Source organism: Homo sapiens, chromosome 14, assembly GCF_000001405.40.
Source record: "Homo sapiens chromosome 14, GRCh38.p14 Primary Assembly".
Classification (NCBI taxonomy): Eukaryota; Metazoa; Chordata; class Mammalia; order Primates; family Hominidae; genus Homo; species Homo sapiens.
In genome coordinates, this window is record NC_000014.9 from 33,626,757 (window position 1) to 33,641,246 (window position 14,490).

At 39.2% G+C, this 14,490-nt stretch overlaps 1 protein-coding gene and 1 long non-coding RNA gene across 20 annotated transcripts in view; one reads left to right on the top strand and one right to left on the bottom strand.

The window, feature by feature from the left end:
• NPAS3 (neuronal PAS domain protein 3) overlaps positions 1 to 14,490 on the top strand; it is an 869,389-nt gene that overhangs the window by 691,972 nt on the left and 162,927 nt on the right. The gene's annotated exons all lie outside the window — the stretch shown is intronic.
• LOC124903300 (uncharacterized) lies at positions 362 to 13,431 on the bottom strand. The gene is made up of 2 exons (XR_007064112.1): positions 13,173 to 13,431; positions 362 to 894 (listed from the first exon to the last, which is right to left on the bottom strand). It is a non-coding gene; the product is annotated as an uncharacterized LOC124903300 (long non-coding RNA).

The window sequence follows — 14,490 nt, forward strand, 5'->3', positions numbered from 1 at the left end:
ATAGACAATAAGTAGAAAAGAAACCAAATACATCAGTTTTGTAGTATTTTAGGTTATCCATACAAAGGGATAAGAAAGATAAAAAGTAAATAGGAGAAAAGGAATTGGGAGTGCCATGAAGTGGGAGTGGAGCTTGCAGTATTAAATATTAGTATGTTTGTTAAGGGTACTATACTCAAAACTTCTTTCAACCATATTCTCTGTAATATTAACATTTATTCCAAGCCACACAAAGCATCAAAGAATTTGAGTATTATATATATTTATACGTATATATATATATGCATTATTGTCACATAAAAATTCAATGACCATGTGAATTTTTATTCAGAGGGGATGGAGAGAAATTAGTCTAAAATTATAAAGTTTCTGTCAAGTAGCAGTTTTAATAAGCATTTTCAATAAGATCCATGGGAATCCACACTGGGTCACAGCATTGTTGAGGAAACGGAACTAAGATAACAAATGTGAGATCATGAGGAGGATTCCTCATATAACGTACAAATAAAGTTGTTTTTCTTTCTTAGTCTATGGTACTGAATAAAGATACATTCTGATACCCTCTTCAGACACAGTTCAAGCTTTGACCTTTGTGAAGTTCCAAGAACCTTGGCAATTTTGGGTCCTAGCTAAAATACTCTTCACTATTTCTGTATCGGGATGCACCTAACTGAAAAAAAAATTAGACTTTAAGTTCTATCAGTGATCTTGAGTCACTACAGCATAGACCCCAACTGCAGATCCTCACGTAATAGTTGAAGACTTTTCAGCTTTTAGTTGAAGACTTTTCAGGTTTTCTTAGAGCAAAGGCAGCCTTATTCAAGGTAGTTCAAGGTAGGCAGCTGATTCTCTCCATCCTGAAGGTTTTTCACGCACATAACTTTGCACAGTTTCCTACAAGAACATCAATAACAAAAAGGAGAAAGATTAGGGTAAAAACATATTAGAAAGATATTTATTTATATAAGTTAGTGTTGATGAACACATCTGTGCCTATGTTCCAAAACAAATTCCTTTCACTATGCTTTAAAAGCAAAGCACATTTGGATGTGCTGTGTTCCACAGGATGTTCACAGAGATGCTGATGAATTGGCCACTTAAGAGTTTTCCTTGTCAACAAAGAGATGTCCAAATAGCCATGTAAATAAACCCTCAAGAAAATCTCTTATCAGCAGTGTATTTATTGGCCATCAGAGACTCGACCCAAAAATGCAAACATGGTGAACAAAATTCCTTGACCACACCAGTTATGAGTGGTTTTAAAGTTCACACTTTGGAAGTTGAATATGCCTCTTTGCCATAAAGCCTGCATCACAGAATTCTCTAATATGTTGCGTTGTGAAGCTAGTGGAAAAAATGGTTTGTTATCTCTTTGTCTTACAGTTTAACTCTCATCTTTAAATTCTCAATAAGATTTCTTATTAAAAGAGTAAGATTTCTTTTTAAAATCAATATGATTTGCTATGGAGATCTGCTTATAAGCATTCAAGGGGCATACAGCTCAGATTTTTAATAGAATATTTAGGATTCCTAGATCTATCACAATGGGCTTCTCCAAAGGATATTCAGTTTGTCAGATATTCAGTATGCCAGGACACAGGTTGGAGAACTGTGAAGAAAATGTAAAGTCAATGAAGAAGGTAGCATTTGGGGGCTTCAGGGAGTACAAAGATAATTGTGGATCAATTGTGCCAGACAATTTGAAGCAACTTAAGACTGCCGTCAGTACTTTAATTGTTTCTGCTGCAGAGTTTGAAAGAGCATTTAGTTCAATGAATGATGTGTTAACACCTAGTTGCGATGCTCCGTCCATTAGTTGCATATCATCTTTGTCTTTTTATTGAGCTGGTTGGTCCACTGTTTCACGTGTTTAAGCCCAAAGATTATGTCAAGAAGTGGCTTGTAAGTGGCGGCTTGAAAGCTGGAAATTGTAGAAATGTGACAAGAGAAGCTCTCTGGCTCTTCTGTCTTACTTTTATTTTATTTGAAGAGTTTGAACTGTTTCCCCTTCCTTAAGCCTGGGCTCCTGGGTATTGAGAGAGTAAGAAAACGATACAATTTTCTCACGTAATGAAATAGAAAGAAACAAGATCATGCCAGCATTAAGTTCAGTAACTTTTTCACTTTTGGGAAATCAATAATACCTTCCCCATGAACATCCAATGCATAGTTGATAGAAAACCAGGTGGAGCGGGCCGGGCGCAGTGGCTCACGCCTGTAATCCCAGCACTTTGGGAGGCTGAGGCGGGTGGATCACAAGGTCAGGAGATCGAGACCATCCTGGCTAACACGGTGAAACCCCGTCTCTACTAAAAAAAATACCAAAAAAATAGCCAGGCGTGGTGGTGGGTGCCTGTAGTCCCAGCCACTCTGGAGGCTGAGGCAGGAGAATGGCGTGAGCCCCGGAGGCGAAGTTTGCAGTGAGGGGAGATTGCGCCACTGCACTCCAGCCTGGGTGACAGAGCGAGACTCCATCTCAAAAAAAAAAAAAAAAGAAAACCAGGTGGATCTCTCTAAGGAATTCTTAAGGACCCCTTTGAGTCTATCAGTGATATGTCAAGAAGGAATATGCATTGCTATAGGAAGAAAGAGAAATAAGTGAGGATCATTATCAGAATTGCCCTTTCACATTAGAGTTTGTTCTGATGAGAATTCAGCCATCTACTACTTTGGTGCCTGCACTTGAAACAGAGTTTTGGTTTGCATCCTGGATATCCTTTTCTATAGTGTGTGTATGAACTTGAAAAACTGATGGACTGAAGAAACTAATGATAGCAGTGAGGCTTGTACTCCTCAATGGTTTTTTTTGTTGTTTTTGTTTTTTTTTTTAACACATTCCCTCTAGACTCTCATATATTCTCATTTTCTCCAGAGGAAAGAGTCTGAGAAACTCACCATTGTATGATCCTTACTTCTCCTTGTCCCAAATTTAAGGGACAGCATTTCAGACACACTGTCTTCTGTCGAGTCCACAGCCATTTGTTTTTCTATTTTTTTTTTTCCATTTTCATACCTTTTTTATTCTAGCACTAGACCTGAAAACCTACATCACAGGACTTGGTAGCTTGTGACTTCAAACAACAGGCATTCAAATTCAAGTGATGATAGATAGCTCATGATTAAAATATCTCTTTTCTTTGTGCAATGAGCCAGCAAGATTCTTTGAGAGCATTTAAACTCTAATGCTATCATACTTCAGCATTCTTCTTTAGAATTCTTCACATCCACAATTTCTCAAGAGAGGGTATTTAGCTGTCCAAATTCTCATCAGTGCTGCTGTGTTCAGCCATAACCTTGAACTATGCCTGGCCTTTCTTTATTCTCTTCCAGGACATATTCCTGGAGTTCCTATTTACTTTGTCTCCCCACATGTATATCCACTGAGAGAAAGCACCATTTAGACCATTACCAAGTCAATTTTGAGTTTAAATACCTTTCACTTGAAAGTCTACGGGATTTTGATCTGTTTGGAGTGGATAATTTGAGGGGGGTCTCTTTTGCACAACTTGTGGAAAAGCTCTGTCTCCTTGATGATGAGTAAAGGAAGAAAAAAGAGAATTTGAGTTACTGAATATTTAATTCTGGACAGCAGTTTAATCAGGACTGGGATTTGGGCAATGGCTCCAGCCCCCTCCTAACTTAGTACAGTTTCAGTTCTTAGTATTCCTTAATTATCCCACTGAGATGTTTGAGAAGCAACTAGTAGTAAATGAACTTGGCAAATCAGCTATTACCCAAGTAATGAAATACAAATACATATGTTTGACAATTCTGCAGGGAAATTTTTTAAGCCAGGATTCTCAATGGATTGTATTGGCCAAGAGAGGAAAAAACAGGTGTTGTTATCAAACCATATCTACAAACAATTTGACAGGAGTTTTAAAATAATGCACAGATTTTCTTGCCATGAATTCCAAACATGTCAATTAACCTATGGAGAATCCTGATTGTCAAATAATGAATCAATATATGCCCCCCCAGGATGGAGAAGGGAGGGCTTGCTGTGACGTCGGGTTAAATATTCAAGGCTTTCTCCCAAACAGTATATCTAAGGATGCATATCAACTTCACATCTAACCTCAAACAAAGCAGAGATCAGCTCTACTGAGAAAATTGATTTTATTCAACAGTAAGGCAAGGGAAATTAGTAAATTCAATATTTGTAGAAAGAAGATAAGCGAAGCCAGCTATTCCTGGTGGTCTGAGACTATTCTTTGTTTTGGTAATTATGCCTTTATGTTTTAGGGCTCTTATTTACATTTTCAGAAGGGCTTGAAATAGTTCATGCACCAAGCATCCCCCTGAGCATCCAGCTTCTTCCACTGTGCAACAATAAAGTTGTCCCTGGACCAATACAAATTGAAAATGAATCCTAACTTTATAGAAAGTGCTGCTTTGCTTCTCTCATTGTTTGGAGCTTCTTTAGAGCTGAATCACAAACTAATGATCTCCACTGCAGCCAAGTCCTTGGTGTGATAGTATCTCATTGTAGTGGAGCCCACATTTACGTAATGTGTAGTCTAAAATACCTTTGAGTTCAAGAATAGAACTATGGAAAATAATTTTATCCTAGTTTGTGTGCACCTGGATTGTAAGACACAGGCAGAAATACAGCAATGGGATGAATTTACTAATGTTTGCTATTGGATGGTAAGCCATTCTAAAGCTATGAAAGCCTTCAAAACCCCATAGGTCTCCATTTTGCCATTAGCCGTACCAGTTTAAACAGTCTGCTGCAAGAAATATTGACAGGTCAAGTACAGCTGGGAAGAGCACGTGTCCCAGTGGCCTTTACACTGACAGTTTCTCCCACATTAAAGAGTTAACTAGCAGCCAACCAGCTCGAAGTGGGAGCTAATGAATGAAATGGAGATTGATATAGACTCTCTTTGGCGGTGCATCGATCTGTATCTTGTGAACTCAGCTTAGGAATTCTGCAGGCAGCATTGCCTGAATAACCCTGGCATGGTGCCCATTAGCAAATAACTCTTTTAATGTTGGTCTTCCACTGATATATTTATTGTATTGCATATTACAGTGACCCTTCCCTACACTGTGTTTGTATTTGATGGTCGTGGCAACAAGCTAAGGGAAGGCTCAGCAGCAGGATACATTTGCGTTTGGGCAGTGTCAAAGAAATATTTAATTAATTGCATCCTTCATTTGCATGTGTTGCATGAAAAAGGTCTCTTTGGGGCACTGAATCCTCTTCCTTGCTGCCCAGCTAGTAGTAGTGAATCTGTCGAATATGATCTGAGACCTTGGCATAGACATTATCTCTTATGACGATTTCACGTTGAAAATAGATTGTGAAAGACCGGTTAGTCTTGCAAGCTGTAATTGACGATATTATCTGTGTAACTGATAACTAGCAGAAGAAGGCAAAGGTAATCCCTTCTTAAAGAACTAGTTGGTGACCTTCTAGGTGTTGACCAAGTCCATGTGAGTTTAAGCGTGTCAACTTTAGCCATACCTGAGTGGGTTCTTTTCATTTAACAGTTGTTCTCGAAGCTCGGTATTCATAAGAATCACCTGGGGAGCTTGTGATTCAGGATGTCTGGGTTGGGGCCTGGAAATAAGCATTTTAAAACTAATAGTTTTGATGCAGGTGGTCTTCAGACTATAATTTTTAAAATGTTGACTTAAGACATTAGAAACAAGGGAATTAATTAACAGACACTCAGAGCACACTGTGTCCAAAAATGCGAATTGCTAAAAAGTTAACTGCTGTATTTATAACATTCATTTCACTTCAGTGATCTCTTTTCTCTATGGGTAACTGAAGTATCCCACCCCCGGAGCTGGAGCTGGGTTCCACTTGCCATCCTTGCCACAGAGTCTATGGTTTGGGCCTTTTCACCTCTCCACAGATCTACAGATCCAAGTCCAGTTCGTAATGCACAAGAGGTGCTGCTTTACCTGTACAGCTCTCTACGCTCCTCCATTGCCTCTTAACTACTCATGCATTCATGCAGAGGAAACGCTCTTTTTTACCAACTCATACTGGAGAGTATGTCATCATGCCAAACTAATGTGCTGAAAACTGCCCTCAAGAGATGACCTAAGTAAGCCAAATACCTTCTTTTATAGGAAAAGATCTTAAGTCCATAGAGTTTGGGTGGCTTGTAGCTAAGCCAGAAATATAGCCCAAATCATCATTCCATCCCTATAGGACAAGCTTGCTGAAGAACACAGTCAGCCTTCTGTATCAGCAGGTTCTGCATCCATGGATTCAATCAACCATGGATTGAGAATAATAAAAAAATCCCGTAACAATAAAAAATAACACAAGTTTAAAAACAATACAGTATAACAACTATTTACATCGCATTTACATGGTATTGAGTATTAAAAGTAACCTAGAGGTGATTTAATGTATAGGGAGGATATGCTTAGGTTATATGCATATACCATGCAATTTATATAAGGGACTTGAGCATCTGATGATTTTGGTAATCTGCAGCAGGTCCTGGAACCAATCCCCCAAAGATACTGAGGGATGGCTGTATGTAATTGATGCCCTCGAATGCAAACTTATTTGAAAAAAAACTAATACCACCTGTATCTATCATTGAAATAAAAGCACCTAGGATTATGTGTTAGTAGGATAACCAGGATCATCCATAGAGAAAGTACAGTCATGTGTTGCTTAATGATGGGAATATGTTCTGAGAAATGCATCATTAGGCAATTCTGTCATTATGGGAACATCATAGAGTGTAGTTACACAAACCTAGATGGCATAGCCTACTACACACCTAGCCTAATGCTCCTAGGCTACAAACCTGTACAGCATGTTACTGTACTGCATACTGTAGGTAACTTTAACACAATGGTAAGTATTTGTGTATCTAAACATAGAAAAGGCATAGTAAAAATACAGTATTATAATCTCTTGGGACTACTGTCCTACAAGTGGTCCATTGTTGATTGAAACATTATTGCCAGCAGTAGTGGCTCAAACTATAATCCCAGCACCTTGGGAGGCCAAGGCAGGAGGATCACTTGAGCCCGGGAGAGTGAGACCAGCCTGGGCAACATAGTGAGACTCCATCTCTACAAAAAATAAAAAATTAGCCAGTTGTGGTGGCGTGCTCCTGTAGTCCCAGCTCCTCTAAAGGCTGAGGTAGGAGGATCATTTGATCCCAGGACATCGAGGCTGCATTGAGCTGTGTTTGCACCACTGCACTCAGCCTGAGCAACAGAGTGAGACCATGTCTCAAAAAAAAAGAGAAAAGAAACATTGTTTTGTGGCACATGACTGCTGTATATAATCTGCTTTCTCCCTTCAGAGCCAATTTAGTTTCCAGAGAACTTTAAGGGGATGTAACAATGCCTGAGATTTCAGAAATAGCTTATTTCTTCCCTGGAAACTCGAATTGGGTCAAAACCACAAAATATGTTGGTTCTTACAGGGTGCCTTGCACTTTGCCAGGCACTAGTGCTAGTAAAATTAAATACATGGTGTTTCTAAAACGTCAGCATTACCCCTAATACGTGCACTGTCTATTGGCATTAGGGGAGCCACTAACTCTAACAGGTTGTTCAGGGCCAAAGGAACAGATTTGCTGTGGGTAAATCAGTAGCCTGCATTTTAGGGGTTCTGTGAGGATGCGACAGAAAATAAGGTTACACACAGTGAACTGCTCCAAGTGACATTTAAGGAAGATTATTTCTGAGAGCGATGTGGAGGATAGATTTTTGAAAGATGATGCTGGAACCAGTGAGATCATTTAGGGGCTGAGGCCATAGTCCACGTATAAAAAAGAAGGCGGGCAGGGGGTGCCCAGATGTGGACAGTAACAGAGAGCACCAGGAGTAGTATATAAATCAGAGAATTATGAAGGCAGCAATTCCTAGGAGTTTGCGATGTGAGGTGGGAGGTACTTTTCTCCAAGGTAGTGAATTTAGTTGGGGGAATAGGTTTGGGGATACGGGGAGGAAAGACCAAAGGAGATTCAGTTAGGCTGAATTGGGTTAAGTTTTCAATGCCTGTGGAACATTGTGGTAGAGACTTGGGAATGTCCACGGCTGTGAATCATCAGTCTTGCTATTAGCCAAAGCCACAGGCATAGACAAGATTGTTTAAGGTGGTGGTTCTCAAAGTGTGGTTCCCCAGGCCAGCAGCATCACCTGAAACTTGTTTTTCTGAATGCAAATTCTGAGCCCCACCCAATATCTACTGAATCATAATTTCCGAAGGAGGGATCCTGTCATCAGATTCCAGCCCTCTAAGAGATTCTGATATATGCTCAAGTTTGAGAAGCACTGGTTTGAGGAAAGTATCACACAAGAACAGTTACACAGCTGGTGGAGAAAAGCGGGGCCCAGGTAAGATTTTTATGAAAATATGGACAGAGAAGAAAGGAAACAGAAGGGCGTACATTGTGCCATTTAAAGACAGGTGAGTGTTTTGAGAAGAAAAGAATGGTCAGTAATTTTGAATACTGTGGAGCCAGGTAGGAAGAGGCCTGGGATATGCCCATCACATCTGAGAATTAGCAGATTGGTGGAGATTCTGGCTAGCAGTTTCAGAGAAATAGGACATATGGAAGTCAGATTACAGAGAGTTGTCGATGGAATTGGATGTGAGGAAGTAGAGATAAGAGGCTTAGATTGCTTTTTCCAAAAGCTTAGCTGGAAAGGAAGAAGAGTTAGAAGAAGAAAAGCAAGGGGAATTTTAGACTAGAAGAGAGGTATCATTTCGAGATGTAAAAGCCTTGGGTTTGTTTATGGATTGAAAGGAAGGAGTAGAGGCTGCAGACCCAGAGGCTCGAGCAGGGAGGGTCTTGCTTTGGACAATTGCAGTGATCTCCCAACAAGTTTCCCTGAGCCTCCATTTTGAAGTTTAATCAATCATATCCTTCCTCTAACTGTTCACCAGCACCGCCATCACCCATTATCAGACATAGTCCAGATGTAATGTTCTGTATGAGCAATCTAACTACTGATGTACCCTCCAGAAGCCCACCTTCCCTGGACTTGTCGGGGTCTTTGGCTTCTTTGTCCTCTGCCCCACTCCCTGCCAACTTGGAGAATTTCTTCTAATCCTTGAGATCCTCTTCTCTGTGAAATGTTCCCTTCCCATTTATGCAGCATTAGATCATTTTTCTGGCTTCCAGCACCTGTACATACATCCCTCTGTGGCATGTCCACATGTAAGTGTCATGGACTGTAAACACGACTAGACCTAACTTTTTTTTTTAAGACGGAGTTTTGCTCTTGTTGCCCAGGCTGGAGTGCAATGGCACGATCTCCGCCTCCCAGCGATTCTCCTGCTTAGCCTCCCGAGTAGCTGGGATTACAGGCATGCACCACCACGCCTGGCTAATTTTGTATTTTTAGTAAAGACAGGGTTTCTCCACGTTAGTCAGGCTGGTCTCAAACTCCCAACCTCAGGTGATCCATCCGCCTCGGCCTCCCAAAGTGCTGGGATTACAGGCGTGAGCCACCGTGCCTGGCCCTAACTTACTTTTTATTCCACTACCCTGCACAGTGTCTGCCTGTAATAGGTGTTCACTGGCAGCTTATGGAACGGATGAATGAATCCATTTATGAAAAAGTGTTTGCCCAGTGTCAGCATTAAAGGCTCACGCTAGCATCTGCATTATTTGCCTGCCTCCAGTCTATGTATCAATAACTGCTATGCACAGCTATAGCGGTTTTCTTTAGAATTGAAGGGTTTCTTAGTGTATGGGCTTTTCTACCTGAGCTGATATTCCTGCTCCTGAAGTTACACTCCAAGGGCATGTCAGGACTTTCCTAACGCCACAGTGACCCTGCCATGTAGTCACTCACTTACGTGGTATGTGGCAGCATGGGAGAGTTTCTAAGAAAGTCTAGGTTAAATCTTGAGAATCAGGCAGCCGCTGCCAGAAATCATAAAGCATGGAGGTTTTGACCATGCACCAAGATTTGATGCAAGGCCCCCAAACGCACACCAGTCAGACTGCCCTTCTCAGAGTCACACGGCTGTGAAATTCCAGAAACCCACTGCCTGGCACACCGGGGCCCTAAATTGCCAATTTCAAAATGAGACACAACTATTAAACACTAAAAATGAAAATCTTGTTGTCAGGAAATTTTTGGCATCTTCATTTCCCTCCTGCTACCAAGCTGTCAGCAGGAGGAGGACACTCGGAGTGTGCACACACACACACACACACACACAGAGTAATTGCAGGTTTAAAGATTAACAGAATTGGTCTATCTGCTCTTCTATTAGAAATGTTACATCTATCTTTGTTTTCTTCCGGCATCAGGGTAGGCAGAGACATTTTTTTCATGGTAAAAAATAATCTTTTTATTACAGGCTTGAGAAAAGCATTTCTCTAGATTGTGGAGAAACAAACTATTTTTTAAATGTTTTCTTTGGAGTGACTTTTAGTACTGGCGGTGAAAAATGAGTTCCCCATAATGCTCTAAAGATATTGAGAAGTCAATCTTTTTCATTGAAAATTAGTCACAAATCTATAATTAACTTTTTGTTTTCTTCTTCGATACTGAAATCACAAATGAAAAATGCAAAGCACTCACTCTGGCATATGATTTCTAATTTCATAATAAAGATGACCTAATAATCATCTCCACTTTGCTGGATTCAGCTTGTATATTTAGAAAGTATATATGAATTTTGACCTATCACATCATTAGAGTCCATTATAACTAATTTTTCTCCCTATGATGTTGAACAGGTGATCAGAAGAAACTTTTTCTAAGCTTATAAAGCACTACTTTTTCATCAAGGAAAAAATAGATTATACATCGTTCAGGAAGGGGAAAAAAGTTATAAGGAGATTTTACCTATTGAATGTAATGGATTGTCAGGAACCCTTGACATTATTCTACAGGCGAGGCCACATAAAATCAATACATCTTAGGCAAGGTTTAATTTATTTGTAGGTTCTTACAACAAATGACTTACCTTTTTTGTTTGCTGTTTTTTTCTTACTTTTGTACTCATGAACAGCTACAGTTTTTATCCGTCTCATTATTAAGCACAAAACAAGGTATCATTATTACCATGTATTTTTTATAAAGAACGATTGCAAAGCATGAAGAAAACTTCCACAAATCTAGAAGTTGCACTAAATATGATGGTTGTAAAACACTGCCTCCTACCCTGTTGTCTAAGATGCAGAATCTACTCCACAAAGGAGCTGGGCTTTACCCCAAATCAGAGGCTGTGTTCCCTCATGCCATGTGTCTCCTATGAAGTGATCTTTCCGTGCTGTGAGTTCCGGTAGGGTTAGCGGATTATTTGAAAGGAGCATGCATTTTATGAAAGGAAGTACCAGAAACTGAGCAGACTTATTTTTGATAGCTGATTCTATGTTGGTGACATGGTCTATCAAAGAAATTATAGCAAAAAGTATTGGACATTTCAGCATACCAAGCACTAGTGACTGTTTGAATTCGGTCTAATCAAATTTTTCCTTTTTATATTACTTATTTTAGGTTTTTGGTGTTAAATTAATATTAAAGATCATTTAACCAGAATTATTTTATACTCATAATCTTATGGATATAATGGGCTGCTGGTCCTCCATCTGCTTCTATCAAACCATGGCTGGCTGTGAGCACAGCTATGCAGGCAGCATGAAAGCAGGAAGGATACTCTGGAGTCAGCAACTAGTGGGTTTGAACCCAGTTCTTCTACTTACTATCTACGTGATGTTGGATAAACTTTTTAACCTCTCTCTTCTTAGTTTCCTAATCTGTGAAATGGAGAAAATAATAACACCAGCTGTGTAGTTCTGTTCTGTAGATTAAATGATAAATCATATACATTTTGACTGTCTAGTACATGTCGTACACATATGAACACACTAAGTGCTCAATAGACATTGGCCATTAGTAGTTTTAATTGCAAGTGAGAACTTTGCAGTTGGTAGGGGCAACATCATTGCTGGGCTCCTTGGGGAAAGACTTTCAGTCCAGAACTAGAAATGTCCAGCCTCAAATGAGGAAGTTGAAGCCACGTAACTGTTAGAGCAAGCATTTCAAAGCAATTATTTACAGTGGTAATGGATGTGGCAAATGTGTGGATTTTGTTGGGATTTCTTCTGACAGCCATGAACACAGATATATTTTAAAGTAATGTAACTGTCCTAAATCTCGAGCAGGGAATACAATGACTTCTAGTATTATTTTTCACTTCTCCAATGACACTCTAGAAGTTATATTTGATAAATTCCTTAGAAGTTATTTGACTTAGAAAGGCACCGCACCATTTAACCTTGGTTTTGTTCTACTCAGACTTGTGTCCAAGGCCCATCTAATGTAATACATCACAAAGGTTAATACACCAAAGCCTTGGCGTAGCATGATTCCCTAGGACCACATTTTAAGGAAAACCACCTTAGAGTCAGGCTTTTTGAAATGTTGGTAACTATTAACTATTACCACTCTAGGTTTAAGATAGACCGTTTAAGCCCCTCTGTAGCTAATAGTATAAGAGCAAAAGCCCAATGGCTCAATAAATCAGCAAAGGTGGATATATATGTAGACACACTCCTGTCTGGATTGGCCAATCTCAAGAAATAGGAGCTAGAGACAAATTTAAAATAAGAAGAATTGTGCTACCCCTAAAAACCAAACCACATGTGAAACAATCTAAAAAAAAATTGTCTAGATAATTTTCTAAAAAGACAAAGTTATAATTTATTTTATAAAGTTATAATGTATTTGGCTTTTCTGTGTAAGGTCTCGCTGGTAGGCTACATAATATGGCTCCTAGGATGGAGTTCACACTAGAGATCGTGATGGCAGATTGAAGAGTCAAAAATTATACATTCTCCTCTTAGCTCTTGTTCAGGAGTGTGACCCTTTCTTTCTGAGTTCAGGTACATAAGAGCCAATGTTCAGCTGTTCCCAAACTAAATTGCCCTGCCACTACATCTTCTCCATCAGCAACCAGATTAGTGTTGGAGCAAGATTATAAAGCTTTTCATGTTCATATTTATTCTTTATGAATCTGCTTTCTTACATGATTAACCAAAAACAACTAGAAAGTAGGCATTTAAAAGAGAAAAGTAAAAGTGTTATCTGACTTGACCAAGTTTCCTCAGGAATTTAGTGGTAAAATGTGAACTGAGGCACAAGTCCTTCCATCCATAGTTTTGTGTTCTTTCAGCTATATTGTCTTACTGCTTATAATATTCTCAAATTACCTCTATGGGCTGGTCACAGTGACTCACACCTGTAGTCCCAGCACTTTGGGAGGCCGAAGTGGGTGGATCACCTGAGGCCAGGAGTTTGAGATCAGCCTGGCCAACATGATAAAACCCCATCTCTACTAACATACAAAAATTAGCCAGGCATGGTGGTGTACGTCCGTAATCCCAGCTACTCAGGAGGCTGAGGCAGAAGAATCACTTGAACCCAGGAGTCGAAGGTTGCAGTGAGCCGAGATCGCGACAGCGAGACCCCCTGTTGAAAAAAAAAAAAATTATCTGTATAATATTTACAAACGTGACTCTTGTTTGATGCCCTCTTCTTGCTCCCTAGAGAAAAGAGTGTCAGTTGAACCCATCTCTCAGGCAAATCAGATTTAGTAAAACACATTGTACCCATCAGGCAAGTGGCCTGTAATATTTTCCTGGAAGATCTACCTGAAGTCTATGCAGTGATCATCTTCACAATATGTTCTGACATTTCTGAGACTCTTTTATTCATCTATGGCTATAGTTTGAAGAGTATCTCAAAAAAAAGTTTAAAATGCACATCTTTTTCAATAATTAAAATTCACAATTCTTAGTTTCCAGAAGAAAAAAAACTTATAAAAATATTTAAACTCCATTTGATTTCAACCATGATATCTATATATAAATTGATCATGAAAATTTAAACTTCTAATCAAGGGCAGACTAACATTCATTCATTTGTCCAATGAGCAATTGCAGCGGTCTACCAAGTACCAACAAATACTCCCAGAAACTTTGGGGAAATGGGGGAGAACAAGTATATTGACAGGGAAATAATCTGGAAACCAGTGCTCCTGCTGTCTGGGAGTTGAAAATCTCGTTGTACAAATACTCAAACATGAAACACATTTACAAAGCATGATAGAAGTATATAGATGTAGATGTAAAATAGTATTTGTTTACATTTTTCCTTAAATATATTTTGACACACATATCAGATTATAGGTACTGCATGATCCAAATTTTGTTAATAAATATGTATGTGCAGAGAAAATTCCTGCAAGGAAAGGTACCCAAGTGTTACTGGCAGTTCTCTCTGTGTGATAGGATAACGGGTGATTTTTTAGTATCTTCTGTATACTTTATTGTAGTTTGTACATTTCCTAAAACAAACATGTATTTCTCTAATGAAAAGGAAAATTTTTAAATGACCATCTCATAATTGTGAGTTTGATAGCTTTTCTTGCAAAATGTTTTCACTCACTTTTTCTTCCGTTTTGACTTGTTTATCTAACTTCTTTCCACGGAGCATGGAAGATTTCAGCCTTAACAGATCTTTCTTAGC